The sequence below is a fragment of the Homo sapiens genome, chromosome 3, assembly GCF_000001405.40.
Source record: "Homo sapiens chromosome 3, GRCh38.p14 Primary Assembly".
NCBI classification, from domain to species: Eukaryota; Metazoa; Chordata; class Mammalia; order Primates; family Hominidae; genus Homo; species Homo sapiens.
In genome coordinates this window covers 7,226,730-7,247,118 of record NC_000003.12, presented here as the reverse complement: position 1 = coordinate 7,247,118, position 20,389 = coordinate 7,226,730, and the positions used below count along the sequence as shown (strand labels likewise).

The following is a 20,389-nucleotide window of genomic DNA, read 5'->3' as shown; positions in this document are numbered from 1 at the left end:
TTATTTTTTTAAATATGTAGATACACCATTGTTCAAGTAATATAGATTGAAAAGATTTTTCTAACCCTATTGGATTATCTTGGTGCCTTCATAGAAAATCAGTTGATATGTTTGGTCTGTTTCTGAATTCTACTGTGGTGAATTAATCTTTTTCTCATCGTTATGCCGATGTAATACTCTTTTGATTACTATAGATTTATGTTAAGTTTTGAAATCTAGTACTGTAAATCCTACAACAATGTTTGTCCTTTTCAATATTGTTTTGGCTAGTGACTGTTCTAGCTCATTTCCATTTCCATATACATTTCAGAATCAGCCTTATAATCTTTACAAAGAAAATTCTGATGGAAGTTTGACTGGAGATTTCATTAAATCTACAGATTAATTTGGAGAGAATTGGCATAGCAATGCCTACTAGAGAGACTTCTTAGGTCTATTCACGTCTCGCTCAGACACACAAGGCCCATATGGACGTTACCCAGTGCCAGTCTATTTAGAAGGATTTAGATCAGGCAAGAACTTGGCAACAGGGTAAAATCAGGTGTTTCTGCTCAAAGTAGTACTTATATCCATCTGATAGCCATCCAGGAATTTTCATCTTTGATCTACCAAGTGATGACAACTGAGGTGAAAAGGGACAAGGTCCCCATTGTGAATATGAGGTCTACGCTCTTGAGAAGCCCTATGCACACAGGAGCCAATCTCTCTTGTAAAAACTTCACAGACAAAGTTTCCAGGGCTCCTGCAAAAGATGTGCCAATGTGCAGAATTCATTCACTAAGGAAAGCCTAAATTTAAGGCTCCCCACCGGGTACTTATAGTACTTCCCAGGTAGATGCAATAGGCTAATCTGGAGCCACATTTGCCACATAGCTGATGTTTCATCTGTCTTTACATTTCCTGGGGAGAAGAGTTAGAAAAGGATTGTAAAAACCTAGTAATTGTGACTTCTACCAAAGTTCCATTGTAATCAGATACCATACTCTGTTTTTAGATGAAGTTCAGCTTCTCATGTCAAAGAAAAAAAATTGTGTTAAAGATGCAGTCAAAGGAAAATTAGTGATATTATGCTTTTCAAACTATGAATGCATTCTATCTCTTCAGTTATTTACATTATTTTAAATTCCTCTAATTAATGTTCTGAAATTTTTAGGGTAATAATCATGTTCATATTTTGCTCAATTTACTACTAAATGTTTTATTAATTTGATGCTATTTCAAATGGCATATAAAAAAATCCTACAAATGAACAATTTCTTCATGTAAGCCTCAAAATGCATCACTATTATTTATGCAGTCAATTATAATTTAAATAGTATAAGAATAGAAAAAAATAGACAAGGATTTCTATTTGTCCATATACTTATATTTCCAAACTCCATTCCTTTTCATGGATCCAAATCATCATTAGGCATCATTTCCCTTATGTTTTTCAAATTCCATTTGTCATTTTTTAGTGTAGGCTTGTTGAGATTAATTCTTCCAACTTTCATATTTGACAGTGTCTTCATTTCAACTTCATTTTTGAAGGATATTCTCTGTGGATATACAACTCTAGATCGATGATTTTACTTTTACTTTTTGTTTCCTTCTCCTTTTTCTCCATAATTTGCCATTTTAAGGATGTATCTTTATCTTATGGCTTTGTTTCTCATATGAGGTCCAGCATTGCTTATTGTCGTTATCTCTTTTCATTTTTCTGTCTCTCTTTTCTTGCCTACCTTCAATAAGTCTCATTTTCATAGATTTCCCCTAGTTTGACCATGATGTCCTAGATATGATTTGATTTTTATTACCCTGCCTGAGATTCGTTTGGCTTCTTTGATCTAGAGGTTCTTGTTTTCTGTCATTTTAAAACATTTTGTCAGTATTTATTTTAATATATTTTCTGTCCCTTTTATCTTTCCTACCCTTTAGGGAGTCCGGGTATGTCATGCTACTTGATATTATCTCACAGGTTATTTGTTTTTTAAATTTTTCAATCAGTTTGGGTTTCAGTTGAGATTTCTGTTTACCTTTCCTCTAACTCACTGATCAAAAGATGTTATATCCAGTACGCCATTAATCCCATCTAATAAATTTATGACATTAAATATTACATTTTTTAGTTCTAGATTTACATTTAGTCATTTTTAAGTTGTTTTTTACATCCCTACTGAAATTTGTGTCCCTTAATTCATTGTATACTTTCTTTCCCTGTAAGTTCTTAAACATAGTTATAATGATTATGCTTAAGTCATTTAAAGCTCATTCCAACATATGCAGTCTATCTTGGTTTGCTTCTATAGACTGTTCCTTCATTTGTTTTTGAGTCGAATGTTTCTCACTTCTTATGATGGATATTTTTTGATTATCTACTGGAAATTATGAATGGTACATTGTCAAAGCCAGCAAATCATTTATATTTTTTGAAGACTATTGTTTTGTTCTAGCAGTGGTGAAATAATGAACAGGTCATCTTAATCTTGTGGGAGTTTGGTTCAGAGTTCATTTTACCCTTAGTTTTGGGCATATTAGTTCTAAGGCATGATGTTACTTCTGGAGTTTAAAATAAGGTGCTTACCAAATCCTTCTAACTTGGTGGGATTTGAGCTCTAAGCCCTGTCTTCAAAAAAAATGGACAGTTGCTGAAATATCTGCTGAGACTTTGAAGTCTTTCAGCTGTTTTTTTCTATTGAATATTTTAGAATCTTGTCTCACACATTACATTTTAGTGATCAGCATGTAATTTAGAAAGATTTTTGTTGCTCCATGTTCTAATAATAATGTGCTGAAGATGTGGTCACCACCAGTCGATTGGGTGAAGTATCAACAGTTTTACCAAGTAATTTGAGAAATGTTGACAGAGCTGTACATAGCTGTACAATATGTCTGTGTTTTAAGATAAGTGTTATCACACAAAAGTCAAAAAGTTAAAAGAGTTAAAAGTTTATAAAATAAAAAAGTTACTGTAAGCTAAGTTAAACTTATTAGTGAAGAAAACATAATTTTCATAAATTTAGTGTAGCCTAAGTGTACAATATTTATAAAGTCTACAGTGGTGTATAGTAACATCCTAGGCCTTCACATTCACTCACCACTCACTCACTGACTCACCCAGAGCAACTTCCAATCCTGAAACTCCATTTATGTTAAGTGCCCCACACAAGTGTACTGTTTTTTATTTTTTATATTATATTTTCACTGTACCTTTCCCATGTTTAGATTTGTTTGAACACAAAAATACTTATCATTGTATTACAATTGCCTACAGTATTCAGCACAATAACATGCAATACAGGTTTGTAGCCTAGGAGCAATGGAATGGGCTATACCATATAGCCTATAGTAGGCATGTCATCTAGGGGTGTGTAAGCACATAGTATGATGCTCACACAATGATGAAATTGTCTAATGATGTGTCTCTTAGAATGAATGTATTCCTGTCATTAAGTGATATATGAGTGTATCTGGGCTTACACTGACACAAAGGTAGAGCACGTGACCTTAATCTAAGGCAATGAATGAACTACATTCTCCTGAGAATAGTGATTGGTTTAGAATGGGTTCATGTCCCATTCAGAACCAATGAGATGTCAGAAGAGTTTTTATAGAAACTCTAGGAAAGTTTTATAAAAACTCTCTCATTATTGTAGGATTTTAACCCAGAAGCCTGAACAGTCTGGAAGTGCTGAAACCATTTTGCCACCAGGAGATTGTCATCTTCCTGAGAATGAAGCCAACATACATGAGAGACAAGAACCAATTTTAGCTAGGAAATTAAGTTCAAGGTGAAGTTTGATCCACTGAATCAAGCCTCAACCTTACCTATATTGTATAAGGTAATAAATACTGTTTTACCTTAAGCCAATAGAGATTGGGCTACTGGTAGCTCTGCTACCAGTTGAATTTAGGTCAGAGCTTTGCAAATGGTATATTATGGAATATACCATAAATGAGTTCAAATATGTGCTTAAATCTTAATTTTTGGAGCCCTTCGGCTGTTCAGCTGCAGCCACTAACAACCTCAAAATGTTAGCCCAGTGTGTCTTAGAATGATCATCACCTTCTATCTTTGCCATGACATGAAAACATTTGGAAAGCATTGCCTTCAGCACACCACTGAATATTTCTGAACTTCATTTTTATCATTTGAAAAAGGAGAAAGCTATAATAGGTTACCTTTAAGGGATTTTTAATCTACACTATTTTATGGCTCCACATTGTCAATTTTGGCTGCAGAATTACAATAACAAAGTTCAAAACCATACTGTTCAGCCAGGAGGGGAAACGGGCTGTCAATGCTGAAAGAAACAAATGGAAAGGCATAATTAACAAATGGAGAGACACTTAACACACAGCTCTGGAATAGATCAGAGGCACTATAGATTGTTTTGCATAAAAATAATCTTAAAATGGACTACGTCTCTTCGTCTGAAATCTGGGTGGTTTGTGATAACACAAAACTTTAAGAAAATCTTACATTCAAAACTCCACACATGCCACAATTGATATAGAGATTGAGCCTAAAGGCCCTTACAATATTAAAGTCTTCATCACTTGACTGACACCCATCAATTTCAACAATTGCATTCATATGTGCAAAATAATTGCCCAAAGTTAAAAAGACAATGCCATTCAGTCTATTGCATAAGACAAAGCATAGTTTGAATGTGGGCAGGGCCAAATTTTTCAAAGCAAGATGCACTACACTGCAAGAGATCTTACACAACCTCTAGTCCAGCTCTGCCAATTTAAAGGTGAGAAAGACCATTCCAAATATGATCATTTTCTGATGAACCAAATGGGTTATTTTGCTACATTACACTCAACCACAATCATCTAATTTAAGGTACATACCCTGTAAAAATCCCGTATTATGAATCCATCGGCTCCCTGGGAAGTAAACAGCATGTACTATTTCTCTGGATCATTTAACTCTAGCCAGTCACAGGATCATTATTTAAGTTGACATCTTTGTTTAATCTTGTCCTGATGCCTAGATATATCCTGCAGGGAATCAGATAAAAAGATCTGGCACAAAAAGGGGTTATAAGTTAACACCTCAGTTGGTGGTTAACAGTGACTGTTCAGTTTCCTCAGAGATAAAGATGTTGTTTCCATCCCATTTCATTGAAGCTATAAAAGAAGTACTAAGGTAAAAACCAAGAATTTCAGCAGGAGATTTTTAAAAAACAGCTGTAGCTGTGGTCCCTCTGTGCCAGCTATGCTGAGAAACTTGCTCCTGGGGCATGATAACAGAACTGGGACCCTTGAAAGCTGGCAGATCTCTGAAATGTTTGATCAACAAACACACACATCTGTGCACAAATAAAAACCTGGAGATGTGCCCTGGAAAGCTGGTTGGAGAAATCACGGGACTTTGCTGGCAAACCTGAAGTATGCACCAGCTTCCTAATTCTCCCATTTTTCATGCTGATAGAATATTGGAACAGCTTTGGAAATCAACGGTCAGTCTCTTTTGTTCACTTCTGTACTCATCAGCTCACCCAAGCAGGTAGCCTGGCATTTAGGAGAGTATCTAGCATAGAGTCATATCTGATATATCTTGATTGATTTTATGTAATACAAAAGTAAATCATCTTTGTTTAAATTAGACTTTTCCTGGCGTGACCTCAGATTGATGAGATGGTCTTAATTATTTTATATATTTTTAATTCCTAATTTAAACTTTAAAAAAGTAAGTTCTAAGGATAAAAAATAATGCTAATGATGACTATTATATTAATATGTATGAAACATTCAAAGCAGTATATGGCATGTACATAGCATTAACGAGGATGATGATGACAACGCAGACAGTGACCACTACCACTACTACTATGCAGATGTTTGTAGTCCATATAGACACCCTTATCCACATTCCATATAGAAATTTACATCAAATGCTTTTGATCAAAGGAAGTTATGTTCTATCCATTGAATAAGGCTGCCTCACATTTGAGGTCAAGCAAGGAGAGGTTAACTTTAAAATAAACTTTGGCTAAGTCATATTTTAATTAATTCAGCAACCATATACAGCTAATGCATGCCTTATCAATGGGGGTATGTTCTGAGTGCTGTACCATGAGGGGATTTTGTCAAACATCATAGAGTAGAGTTACACAATCCTAGATGGCATCGTCTATTACATACATAGGCTACATGGTATAGCCTATTGCTCCTAGGCTACAAACCTGTACAGCATATTACTGTCCCGAATACTGTAGGCAATTAAAACACAGTGGTAGGTATTTGTGTATCTAAACATAGAAAATGTACAGTAAAAATACAATATTATAATCTTATGGGACCATCACTGTATACGCGGTCAGCAGATGACTGAAACATTGTTATGCTGCATGTGTCTACATTTGGGCTTACTTATGTGCCAGGCACTATGCTAAAAACCATGCTACCTTCATGTGGAAGAGGGGGAGGGAAGGGATTGACAGTCAGTAGAGAGACTGAAATCTTCCCGAAAAGCAATGGAAAAAAGAAACAGACTTTTAAATCCTATATCTGTATTAAAAATGGGAGATGAATATTTCAGGTTTGAAGCCTGAGACATATGCCTCTTCTAACAAGTTAGATCTTTGATATATGCCAATATTCAACCATATCTTAGTAGTTGTATAATTCCTTCATTCATATTTTAAATTACTCTAAACATATTGCAAAAATAAAAACTATTTTAGAGGTCACAAACCGTAAGTCATTTGGTTAAAATTATGCCCAATAGACATGTTTATTTGGTGTATTTTAAAATTAGGAGATTTCTGATTAAAAAAAAAACAATTCCAGGCCATGAGTTCATGTCCTTTGGCCCCTCACTATCACAAGTCCATGCAAGCCCTGTACTTAATTTTATATTTTTATATTCTTATTTTTCAAGAGACTTCACCACTGCACTGTGTGTTTCAGCCCCACACCTCCTATAGAAGCCGCTGCTTTCTCCATCAGATTGCCAAACCAGAATGAAATTAAGCCACTGGAAAAAAAAAAAAAAAAAAAAAAAACCTCACATGCTAAAAGATTACTGGTACTCCTTACTCATACACATTTGATGGGATTCCACAGGGGAAAATGGATATCTGCCTTTATTGGACATTATCTCTAGTAGGGCATGGAGAATTAATTGATAAAACGATAGAGTCCTTTTACTCTTAGGATGCTTTTTAAAATGCAGAGGAATGCTAGCAGCCAAAAGTAATTAAAAATATGATCAAAAGTTACAGCCAGACCACTTGGTACAGTGTGTGATTCTCTGATTTCAGGAGAAGGGCAGAACTAACTTGTGAAGAATCAAAGCCTTGATAGAAAAAACTCTGATGCTGAAAGAAGGAGCACAAGGCCTTAACTCTTAAAGCTTCTTGTTTGCAGACGTCTGCTTTCAGAAAACCGGTTAATCAAACAGAATGTTTGAGAGTCTTCAGAAAATTTTCCCAGATCAAAAATGTCCCCCTCTAGGCCTTTAATAGACTGGATGATGCCCACCCACGTTAGGAAGAGCCATCTGCTTTACTGAGCCCACCAATCCAAATGCTAATCTCATCCGGAAACATTCACAGACACACCGTGAAATAATGTTCAGTCTGGGCACTACAATGGCCAGTCATACAAAACTAAGCCTCACAGCTGGGTACGGTGCTATATACCCATTTTATGTTCATGGTCAGTCCATAAAGTAGGTAGGATTAGCCATATTTCATAGATGAGCAAACTATGATCCCAGAGCTTCCTGGATAGTGACTGATAAGGCCAGCTCCGTCTTTCCTCAAAGCCCACGGTGCTTTTACTACATCACATTTGGACTCTGCATTAGAAATGTGGATGTTAGACTGGGCTCAGTGGCTCACGTATATAAACCTAGCACTTTGGGAAGCCAAGATGAGTGAATCTCTTGAGCCCAGAAGTTGGAGACCAGCCTGGACAATATGGCAAAACACTGTCTCTACCAAAAAATGCAAAATTTAGCTGCAAATGGTGACACATGCCTGTAGTCCCAGTTATCCAGGAGGCTGAGGTGGGAAGATCACTTGAGCCCAGGGAGGTCAAGGCTGCAGGCTTCAGTGAGTCATGATTGCACCAGTGTTCTCCAGCCTGCATTACAGAATGAGACCATGTCAAAAAAAAGAAAAAGGAAAAAAGAAAAGAAAGGGAAAAGAATAATAAAAGAAAAAGGAAAAGGAAAAGAGAAAAACAAAAAGTAAAGGAAAAGGAAAAGAGAAGAAAAAAGAAAGGAAAGGAAAGGAGAAAAGAAGGGAAGAGAAGAGAAAACAAGTGAAAGGAAGAGGGGAGGGGAGGGGAGAGGAGAGGAGGGAAAAGGAGAGGAGAGGAGAGGAGAAGAGAGGAAAGAAAAGAAAAGAAGGAAAGGAAAGGAAAAGAAAAGAAAAGAAAAAAAAGAAAAGAATAGAAAGGGCTAGATGTGTGTTGTGAAGGGTCAGGGAGAAGGGGAGTGTGAGCAAGCTGGCCACAGTCCCACCTGACTTTTGAATATGTTAAATGGCTTTAGGCAATTCCTTTAACAAATATTTATTGAGTTTCTTCTGTATGCTAAGCCTGAGGACACAGCCTTGAAAGGAGAAAAGGTCCTCATCCTAAAGGAGTGTACATGTTAGTGGCAGAAGACAAAAAAAAACAAAGTTTATTAGACAACATGAGAACTAATATGAAGAAAATAAAACAGTGGGGAGTGGTGAAAAAATAGCTTTCTAGGCTCAATTTCGAACAGAGAAGCCTTCTCTGAAAAGGTAGATTCGGACTTGTCCTGAGTAACTGGAAGCATTAGCCCTGTAAGGATCTGGCAGAAGAAAATGGCATGCAGAGCAGAAGCAAATGTGATGAACCTAGAATAGAAATAACTGAGGAAAATAATGAATTAGTGTGGCCTGGGCTTGTTGGACAGGGGAGGAAGAGTTGGAGTTGATGCTGGAGAGGACAACCGAAGAGATTGGATAAGATCTGAGCTGTAATGAGAAGTGCTATTTAGAATGGTAGTCACATAACTTGAAGAGTACTGTTGCTGATATAATTTTGATTCAATACTATGGTGCATGCAATATATTCCTTAATGCTATGAGCTTTTGAGAGGTGAAGCCAGCTGGGCTTCTGGGTCAGGTGGAGACTTGGAGAACTTTTCTGTCTAGCTAAAGGATTGTAAACACACCAATCAGCACTCTGTGTCTAGCTAAAGGTCTGTAAACGCACCAATCAGTACTCTGTAAAAACGCACCAATCAGCACTCTGTGTCTAGCTAAAGGTTTGTAAACGCACCAATCAGCACTCTGCAAAAATGGACCAATCGTTACGCTGCAAAATGGACCAATCAGCAGGATGTGTGTAGGGCCAAATAAGGGAATAAAAGCTGGCCACTGGAGCCAGCAGTGGCAACCCACTCGGGTCCACTTCCACGCTGTGGAAGCTTTGTTCTTTCACTCTTCACAATAAATCTTGCTGCTGCTCACTCTTTGGGTCCACACTACCTTTATGAGCTGTAACACTCACTGCAAAGGTCTGCGGCTTCACTCCTGAAGCCAGCGAGACCACGAACCCACCAGAAGGAAGAAACTCCGGACACATCTGAATATCAGAAGGAACAAACTTCAGACACACCATCTTTAAGAACTGTAACACTCACCACGAGCGTCCACGGCTTCATGCTTGAAGTCAGCGAGCCCAAGAACCCACCAGAAGGAACCAATTCTGGATACCCAGATTTTAAAGGGAAGACATGGGGTTTGGTGTTATTTCTACCATCTGGGATGGGCCCAAGTGCAAGGGATATAAAAAATAATGATTATTCACTAGCTATTCTACAGGATTTCCAAGAACACCTAATAGAAGGACTGCTTAAAGTTAAGGGGCTTCTCAAGGCAACTGCTGAAATTCAACATCAGAAAGGATAGAGGTAACAGAAATGGAAAAAGGTAAAGAATATAGACTTTTGACTTGTGCTCAAATTCTGGCACTGCCACAATGACAGAGTGACTTGCTGGCAGGCACCTCTTCTGAGTTTCAGTTTTTTTACCTGTGAATGAAGATAAGAAATTCCCCCTGAAATTCACTGAGGACAAAATGGGTTTACATATACACAAGCACTGATGACCGGGCTGTATATACAGAAGTATTTAGTATTAATAATTTATTTCCTTTTTTCAATAACCACATCAGTATGCACGATGGCTGAGAAAGAACGAGTAAATAAAACGAAGAATTTCTTCTATATCTGAGAGCTATTGCTGCATAACAAATGTTCCCAAACTCAGTATACATTTATTGTTGCTCAGGAATCCATGGGTGGTTTTGCTGATCTGAACCAGGTTTGGTTGATCTTTTAGGGCTAAAGCATATGTCTGTGGTCAGTGGGCACAGAAACTGAGAGCTGAGTGCTCTGGAAAAGATATCATTCACATATCTTGTGATTGGATGGCTCTTGGTTGTGGTGAGGGTACTAACCTGGCCCTGGATCACTTATTATCTACCTGCTAGCCTAAGCTTGTTGCTATGGGCAGGATTCAAAGACAGAAAATAAAAGAGGGCAAGATCACTTGAGAGCTAGATTGGAAACTGGCCTATTGTCTACTTCCGCCACATTCTATTGGCCTGGTAAGTCCCAAGGCCAGCCCACATTCACACACTAGGGAAAAACTTCAGCTTTTGATGGAAGGAGCTGTCAAGTCACATTGCATAAGGCATGGATATAGGAAGCCATGTAAAATTAGGACCATAACCAATCTACTACTTCCCTTTTCTAAAAAATAGGAGAAAATAGTAACATCTTTTTCGGGTTTGTGGTAAACATAAAGTAAGACAAAGCACTGAAAAGATTTAGAATATTGTTTGGCACACCTTAGGCACCAGGCAAATGTTACTGCCTACTATGGTTTGAATGTATGTTTCTCTCTAATATTCATGTTGAAACTTAACCCTCAATGCAATAGTATTAATAGATGGGGTTTTTGGGAGATGATCACGTCATGAGGTCTCTGCTTTATAAATGGTATTAGTGACCTTATAAAAGGACTTGAGGAGGGAGCCAGTTAGTCCCCTCACCCCTTCTACCACATGAGGATGCAGCAAGAAGGCACCATCTTGGAAGCAGATAGCAACTCCCACCAGATGCAGTGTCTGCAAGGACCTTGATCCTGGACCTCCCAGCCTCCAGAACTGTGAGAAATAAATGCCTGTTGTTTGTAAATTACCCAGTCTAAGGTATTTTCTTATAGCAGCAGGCACAAACTAAGACAGTACCTTTGCTGTATTGATCTACTGTATGTACTATCATTTAGCCAAACATTTTTTTCAAAGCTTGTTTTATTTCTCTCACAAGTGAAAAATAGACTTAATTCTGGATAAAGAAAAAATTATATGTATGTTATATTCCTCACATCTTGTTTAGAAATGATGAATATTATCCATGTAGGCAGCTCAAAAATAAGATGTATTTCCGTTGTGAGTTGAATGCATTTGCATTTTTTCTGCAATGTGTTAAATAGAGAGGCAAGATATAAATGTATGATGGATGAGGAATGTGCTGCCACTCTCCGTAAAGAATTTCCTTGGTGGCTTAGATCAAATCGTCAGGAGGTGTTGGAGTAACTCTGCTCTATCATAGCTCCTTAAAGTTTGGAGACAAGGCCCAATCAATACGTGGGCATAATGGGGAACCTAGGGGTGCTTATCATGTACCACAGAAAATTCCTTATTGGTGGTGGCCAAGTTACTAGGAGAAACAGATCTTTTCCGAGATGCTTAAGAAGTGAAAGATTCTGTACTCACCCATGGTATGGAAAATGCTGTACCAAATACAAGGAATGACTTGGCATACATACCAAGAGCTGAAAAATGCTATTTATAGGAGCAGAAAATTGCAGAGGCACAATGCATGAAAGGCTCTGTACAAACACTCAGGACATCCACATGGAAATACAAAGGAAGGAAGGCACTCGCAGATCCTGCACTTTACCGTCTAGTTGATGGTAGTAACTAGTAAGGTAACATAGGTTTAATGTGGAAAGCTCTAAAACTTGGTTTCTAACTTCAAGATTGCTAGTTTACTTTTTTTATTCTAATGAGGGAGATGCTTAGATAATAATTAGGTATCAAAAGGGATCTACAGAGGGATGACAAACATAAATATTATAAAGAGTTAAGTTTCAGTACAGGCAAGAAAACGATGGATGAACATTATTTTGCAGAAGCCTGTTGTAAAATGGGTCAAAGGAAAAACTTTAATGAGTTTAATGAAGGACTTTTTGATCTGGCACCTTTCAAGAATATTAAATAAGTAAAGCAAAACATAATCTCTAATGGAGAGTATATTCTGGAAAATATCAGGAATCTTTTCCATATCTTGACCATGACATTAACAAATTATCTCTCCATAACAGTGTTTTGCAATTAAGTCTTTTTTTAAACTAATGATCACTCTCTCGAAACATAAAGAAACAATTTCCTTTGGGTGTTGCCAGAAAAATATCTGAAAAAATGCAACTCTTTTATTTTCTCAAAACGTTTAATCATGCAGTATGATCTCTAGAACCACTTCTTATGTAAGACAGATGATACATGTGCTATCAATAAATATTTGTTGAATGGAGATTTTATTGAAGGTATTTTATGGACCAGATCCAGGACTAAGAACTTCATAAACATTATCTTATTACAATCACACAATTCTATGAGGCAGATACTTTATTACTGGTTAGGGAATCAGAGGCCCAGGAGAGGGAAGTAACTTGACAGAGTCACAGTGCTAGTTAGTAGAAATAAATGGAAATCCAAACAATGCAATGAGAATCCACATATGTGAATTAATCACTATCTTCCTTTACCTAGTTGAGTCTAATAATTAACACCAAAGAGACAGGTACATGTTTTCCAATGAACCTCAGAAACTACATTAAAAGGTCAAATTTGGTTTTTAATTCCAAAAGTCACCTTATTTTTTAAGCATTTTATTAAAACATTGTTTCTAGGTAAATATGAAACATAATTTTGTTCTCTTAAATCCTATTACAATTCCTTGAGCATTCCTTTTTTGGTTATTATAAAGATTTATATTTTATTCATCTAAAGCTATATTAAAAACATTAAAGCCTAGGGCAATACAATTAGGACCAATGAGTAGCAGTTATAGGAAGGAAGTTTTTAATGTTCCAAACTATTTAAAAATGCCTTGAACCGCTTTAGGATATAATAAGTTACTCATTATGGGATGTATTCAAGAAAAGCCTAGGTTGCCACTCTGAAATAGTGCTTTAGATTAGAGGTCTTAAAGCAAAAGTTGGGGAGGGGAAGGATCAGTCCTCTTTTCCAGCCTAGACATTCCATGGGGATCCAAAAATTGGGTTTATTTATTTGCAGTTCGGAGTCATTTTGTAAAAGAAAAATTTTTACCTGTTCAAAAGTCACACTCCGTGCAAACTAAATAGAGCAGTTCTAGTCATCTGACACTTTTCTTCACTCAAACAAGGGGTCTTGCACAGAGCAGGTATTGAATAAATGACTATTTCTATGTTACTCATAGTTGGTACAATTACAAAAAAACCCATATAGTCTTTCAAAATAGCTGTTACAGACTTTTATTATATCTCCTCAGATTAAATAAGCTTCAAGGCTTTAAGAAACCTCAAAGTTACAATAGCTGGTACAATCTGATACCATAATCATAACTTTACATGATTCAAACCAATCTCTGCATTCTTATCCCTTTATTTTCAACCAACTATAGTGGTGGTTATTTCCCACTCTATTAGAGGATTAGTCACTGATATTTAATCAGCGAAATGATCATAATTAATCAAAATGCCCATTTAGAGAAACTTACCAGTGATCAAGAAGTCTTTTTAGCCTTCTGACAAATCTTATCTTGGAAAGCTGCAATAAGCAGATTACATAAATTGGGCTTCCTCTGTTCAAAATGTAATTCTGTAACTTCAATTACAAAGTTGCCCAGAATTCTAAACTAGGACATATATATTCTATTCTCTATTTCAAGAACATATAATCAGTTTTTGAAGTTAAGAAAAATATCCTTTGATATAATGGTCCAAATCAAAACTTGGTAATAGCTTTAAATGTATTCAACACAAAGAACTATTTTAATACCACTCTTCATATGGTCATGCAAATATTAAAAAGTCTGTGTTCAGACGAGCTCTTTATTAACTAAGTGTTCCCTTCAGGGTACCCATAAGTACCCATAAGTCTACATTTCATTAACATCTAAAGATTCGAAGAAAGAAGTCACCTGGAAGAAATCCTAAGAAGACTATGTTAGTAGACCTGCAAGCTCATCTTAAGCAACCCTAAATTGAGTGCATCAGATCTGAGTTAGAATCTTAGCTCTGCTACTTACTAGCTGTGTAAACTTCATCTGCAAGATATTGCTAATAAAAGTAACTATTGCAATCAGGCTATTGAATCAATAAGTTAAATCAAAGCTTGTAAAGCACCAGACACAGTGCTTGACACATGATAATGTCCCAAAATGTGAAAAAGCCTCTCATTACAAACTGCAAGAGTCCTCTTCTGTCTCTCAGAAGTTCAAAATTATGTTGATTGACTTGCATCCTTATCATACAAACTGATCTTAAGAAACAGTTTTCCCTCTTTCACATTTCTCATCCTATCATCTGATACTTCAGCCCATTTCCTCCCACTTCCATCTAGATTTTTCTAACTCGATCTGATCCACAAGGGAGCCTTTGATGGGCAAAATGGAACATAAATGCTTAGGGTCTTTCCAGCTCTTTATGGTATCTCAACTCCCATGACAACAGTCTCATTCCCACTTTGAAGCATTGACCTATGTTTTGTCAAAAGTTAATCTATATTTTGATTCAACATAGAACCAACAGAGTGAATTCAACTTTTTTTTTTTTTACAAGATCTGAGTGAGCAAAAAAATGTTGGAAGAGAGTTCACCCATATACATAGGACAGAGCTGTGTCAGGCCCCTAGCATACATGTGTGCTATTTCTCTCACTTGGAATATTTCTTCCCATCATTTGTCAAAACTGCTACTAATGCATCAAAAGTCATCTCAGATATAACTGCATCCAGGAAATCTTCTATTTCCTGCTTCTCCACCAGGAATTCATCACTTATTTCAATGTTCTTCTCAATGATCTGTGTACTTCGGTTCAGCACACTGCTATAGTTATCTGTTCACATCTCTCTCCCTCAGCAGCTTCCCATGGGCTGAAATGGGATTCTTTTGTATCTCCAGCACCTAGCATAGTGCCCAATATAAATTGGGTCTGGATAAATGTTGAAATGAAATACTGATCAGCTGGAGGGCAGTAAGGGGACACCTTTACAGCTGGACTGCTTAAGTTTTAAACCCAGCTCTGCCTCTTCCCAATTTAGAGACTGGACAATCACCTAAACACTAAATGCCTTGGTTTCCTCATCTGTACATTTATGGGCAATCTTATCTATCTCATAGAGATGTTGTGAGAATTAACTAAATCACTGCATGGAAAGTCCTTAGATCAATGCCTCAGACATCATAAGCCAGTAAATGCCAGCTGTTTTGATAATTGTTTACTGTTCAAGTGGTTTTCCTTCACACAGCTGTCAAAACATAGTTCAAGAACATTCTAGCAGAGATGCATTTGTTGGTTAGCTTTGAGACTTGACCAATATAGATTGTGTTTCTGGACATTATATATGTATATATATATGCTCCAAATTTTAAAAATAATGATTTCAGATAAAAATATTTTAGAATGCCATATGTTCATCTGTTGGAGATGGCCAATTTGATTAAATTTCAAAGAAACATATTTAAATGCCAACACCTCACTATCAAAGACACTTTTTGATTGGGTACTGAGTTTATTCAAATCATCTTTGTAGGGTACATGTTCTTTGGTTGGGTTCTATGTACAACGGGAAAACTGATTGAAGTCCAGGAATCACAATCTCACATGTCAAATGCCTAATTCAGTGTCCATAGCTCACTCCCAGAGCCTTCCAAGACGGGTGACACCTAAACTTTTTTTCTGCAGTTTGCCAGACAGAGCCCTCTTCTCTTTCTCTAGCTAATTCCCTACCACCCAATTCCTTCCCCATAACACAAACACACACATGCAATTATAGCTCCAAATGTAACCCTATTGGGCAGGTGGTTTTTCAGTGCTCCTGTGAAGAAGTGGCTGGATGGGTGAGTATGAATGCTGTTTCTGGTGGTCCAATTGAGATGGTAATGACCTATAACATTATCTTCCCACTCAACCTGCCAAGATTCATGAATATACTAAAAGGGTTTTATGCAATAGCTGCTTCCCAGAATTACTCGTACCTTCACAACCCTGGTTCGCTCCATTATTTCTTCCCTGAGGCACACTTAATGCTGTTTGCAAAAATGTCCTAACACATCAGATTTTAAAGTCTTTCCAGATCATGGCCAATTCACAAACGCTCCTCACAAGAAAACTCATTCTTATACAAACAAAGTCTCTTTGAAAGCTGCATTAAGCCGCTGACCCATACCCACCTTCTAATCTATGCCCTAGTTTCTACTTAATTTTTACACTTTTCTCTTTGACGTTGAAGGAATCTTAGACATTTGCAAGAGAAGAATTAAAGTTATACTAAATGTCTCTTTCCTTAAAAAAATGAACCTTCACTCAGAGCTGAACACTAAGAAACAGTTATGGGCGTATTCCTAATCAGATGATGAGAATTCAAGGCACTTACTACTCAATAGCAATCTGCTATTGACAGATGACACCTTGACAGATGAGATGAAAACCTAGCAGTATGTGACCTTGCTTGCTCTTGATATTCACATTCCTACAAAACAATAAGCATATCCATGATGCCTACTATATTAGAGTTTTTAACTCCTTCCAAGTGTTAGGTATACAATTTTGTCTGTTTTGATTCTAAAATTGTTGTAAACATAAATGTGTTTATTTCACTATTAATTGAATCTGTTTGAGGAGGTAATTTCTTTCTGATATAAGAGTTCAACTGGAAGATGGAAGAGGCCAGGCGCGGTGGCTCATGCCGGCAATCCCAGCATTTTGGGAGGCCGAGGTGGGTGGATCACAAGGTCAGGAGATCGAGACCATCCTGGCTAACACGGTGAAACCCCGTCTCTACTAAAAACGCAAAAAATTAGCCAGGCGTGGTGGTGGGCGCCTGTAGTCCCAGCTACTCGGGAGGCTGAGGCAGGAGAATGGCGTGAACCCGGGAGGCGGAGCTTGCAGTGAGCTGAGATCGCCCCGCTGCACTCCATCCTGGGCAACAGAGCAAGACTCCGTCTCAAAAAAAAAAAAAAAAAAGAAGATGGAAGATTGCTGACCCATAAAGTCAGAAAACATATGAAAGCACTCAACACCTGTCAACCAAAAAAAAAAAAAAATATATATATATATATATATATATATATATATATGTGTGTGTCTATGGAGAGCGGGGTTGGGGAAGGAAAACAGCTCATTTGTTTTCTGTCTCTCCTACCACTGTTTTCTTCTCCAGAGAGTATTTCCCAGGGAAATCCATTTACCCTTCCGTTATTCTTGCAGAATAGTTAAACTGGCTCAGTGTTTGCAAACTCCTGTTGAGCCTTCTAAACAAATAATGGAAAAATCACTAGTATCTTCATATACAGATGAGAGGTAATTTAACGTAATACTCATAAAGCGCTTGGGTTCTTGGGTTTGAGGTCCCCTTCTGCTACTTCTAGGTAAGGCGTTGGACCTGTTACTTAACTCTATCTGCCTCATCTTCCTCAGCTATAATAAGGAAATAATAAAAGAGCCTCATAGGGTCATTATGAGAATTAAATTAATTAACATGTGGAAATAATTTGGTGCTTGTTAAATGGTAAATGCTCAAAAAGTTATCTAATGATAAGAATATTTCTACAGAGTAAGTATTTTGTTTTTGTTTCTTCTGTTTTATTGTCATGAATGTTAACACTGGAAATGTTAATTGTAAAGTTACTCCGATAACTACCTCCACCCCACCCCTCAATTAAATAGCTAACATTAAGAAGATTAAGTAACCCCTTCTAATTTGACATATAGTTGATCACAATGGACATTAGAAATAAGCACTGAAGTCAACTGATTTCACTGTATGATTCTTTCCACTTTGTGATAATATGAGGTTTTGAAAGAAAAAGCTTGATATTTTCATTTTGTGTAAAAACACACGTTCATTTCTATGTCAACATTTCTCAAGTTATTTAATAAAACTATTAATGCTTCACCCAATCCACTGGTGGTTGACCACATCTTCATCACATCATTATCAAAGCTATTATACTTTCCCATATGAGATATCTAAAATATAGGAACCAATTTTATCTACAATGGAAAAGCAAATAAAGGGAAATGTTAAGTAATGTGCCCAATATCCCACCTCTGGTAGTAGAACTATGATTAAAACCCACAACACTTGATTCCAAATCTCATAAATCTCTACCAAATCTCATAGTAGAGTCTCTTGTGAAAGAGACTTTTATTGTTAGTAGGACTGTCACAGAGATAACCCCAGAATTCTCTTTATCCGTATACACGGGATATAAACATGACTCAAGAAAGGATAATCATTCACTCTTTCTCTAGATTGTGGTTTTTCATTCAAACAATACAAGATCTGGAACAGATTCTCAAAGGTTCCTTAAGCCAGGACCCAAGAGCGTCTTCTTGGATTTCTGAAGATGTTGTGTTCTGAAATTCCTGAATCCTGTTTCTCCACCTGTTTTATCGGATTTTGTTTCCAATCCTTTATTCTTCCAATAAATTTGATTTTCATTAATGCTATGAGAGAATCGATATCTATTTCTTCCTACCAATGAACTATAACTAAAAAATAAACGGCCGTTTACCTTAAACATATCTGTACTGAAAATGTGCTCTTTCATTTATTGATGCAATGCCTAGCTTTGCCCAGTCCCTATGACATCAGCACTTTCCCTTATCTGTTCTCAGTTCATGTGCCTCAAATTTGGGGTCACCTTACCCACAGGTCTGAAGGTGGGGCAATCCTAGCAGGAAACTTCACTCACCAGATTTATGGACTCAGCAATGGGTATAAGACATACATTGATAATATTAGAGCTAATCACAGACATCTTATTAGAACTAATTGAAAAGAAATAACTTTCTGGTTATATTCTGAGAGAAGAGTACCTGAATGAAAACCATTAAAGTAGACATATGACAATGGAAGAGACCTAATTCTGACAAGTGCTTGGGCCCAGGGATCCAACTATCCCTAACCTAGGGACTACTCCTGGAATTACAATAATCTAAGCCATTATGTTGCCTTCCTCTCTCTTTTTTATGTTATATTCCTATCACTTGCAGCCAGAGAAGTCTTATTCAATATAATACCCAGTGAAAATCCTCTCACAGTTTGGTTCTAGAGATAACCAACATGTGGAGATAATGCTGCCCCTTTATGCTTTAAAAGAATAGCTGTAAATTTTTTTGAAAAGAAACCTTCCATTTGTTGACTTCTTCTTATGTGGTTTTTATGATGATAAGCACTTTATGTTTACCATTTCATTTTAACAGTAATAACAGCCACATGAGGTAGGCAGTGTTTTTATTTCCATTTTGCAGATGAATAAAAAGGAAATGGTCAAGTATTTGTGCAAAGATGTACTGAAAAAAGTAGGCATGCGATACAATAGGAGGTCTCTCTGAGCTCATTGTGGCTACCTTCTGCGGTACAATATGGTGAATAAACTGGAATAAAAATGTTAAACACAGTGGGGTAGGGTAGACATTCCCAAGGCAACAGTTATTCCACTTTCTGCTAGACCTCTAATAAACATATTGTATACAGATGCCAAATTATTCTAGAATAGATTGTCCTTTATTTTATAAATGCCTAAACTATGAACTTCTTGCAATTTGCCATTGATTCATATAAATGATGAAAACACAAATGGTCAATGGTAATCCAAAAAGAAATTCTATCTACTATAGAAAAATGGTTACTATATTACATTCAAGTAAGACTTCTACAGTTTAACAGGCTGAATAATGCAAGAGAGGTACCTTAATTAATATTAAAATAATTTAAATAAAAATTACAACCAGGTATTCCAGTTGAATTCTCTTTTCTTCTAATCTCTAGTTAATTTTTAACCTCCAGTAAATCTTAGCAAAATCAGAATGTCCTTGGAAATGCCCTTTGAAAATGCTTAATGGTAAGTGACATTTATTTATGGGAGCAAATCAGAGCAATGCCATTCTTAGGCTTTGTGTGGTTCAATTCTGAAACAATGTTTGTAACGAAATAATAAAGACCCTTAAAATAGAGTTTTATTTTTATGCAAATTCCCCAGGAGCCGACTATGGAGTGTAACACAGCATGAGTACATTCAAAATAACAAAGTAGATAAATGGGGAAAGCAACTAAACATGAGAAAGAA

The 20,389-nt window shown here is 36.7% G+C and overlaps 1 protein-coding gene across 7 annotated transcripts in view, besides 1 other annotated feature; it reads right to left on the bottom strand.

The window, feature by feature from the left end:
- Positions 1-20,389, bottom strand: part of GRM7 (glutamate metabotropic receptor 7) — an 880,419-nt gene that overhangs the window by 494,415 nt on the left and 365,615 nt on the right. The window lies entirely within an intron of this gene.
- Positions 14,554-14,723: an enhancer, noted in NCBI's record as "experimental_71090 CRE fragment used in MPRA reporter constructs". NCBI's record gives its function as "activates a minimal promoter by MPRAs in K562 erythroleukemia cells, with activity observed for the introgressed 3:7274168 variant allele {active_cell/tissue: K562}" and the evidence as "EXISTENCE:reporter gene assay evidence [ECO:0000049][PMID:34662402]".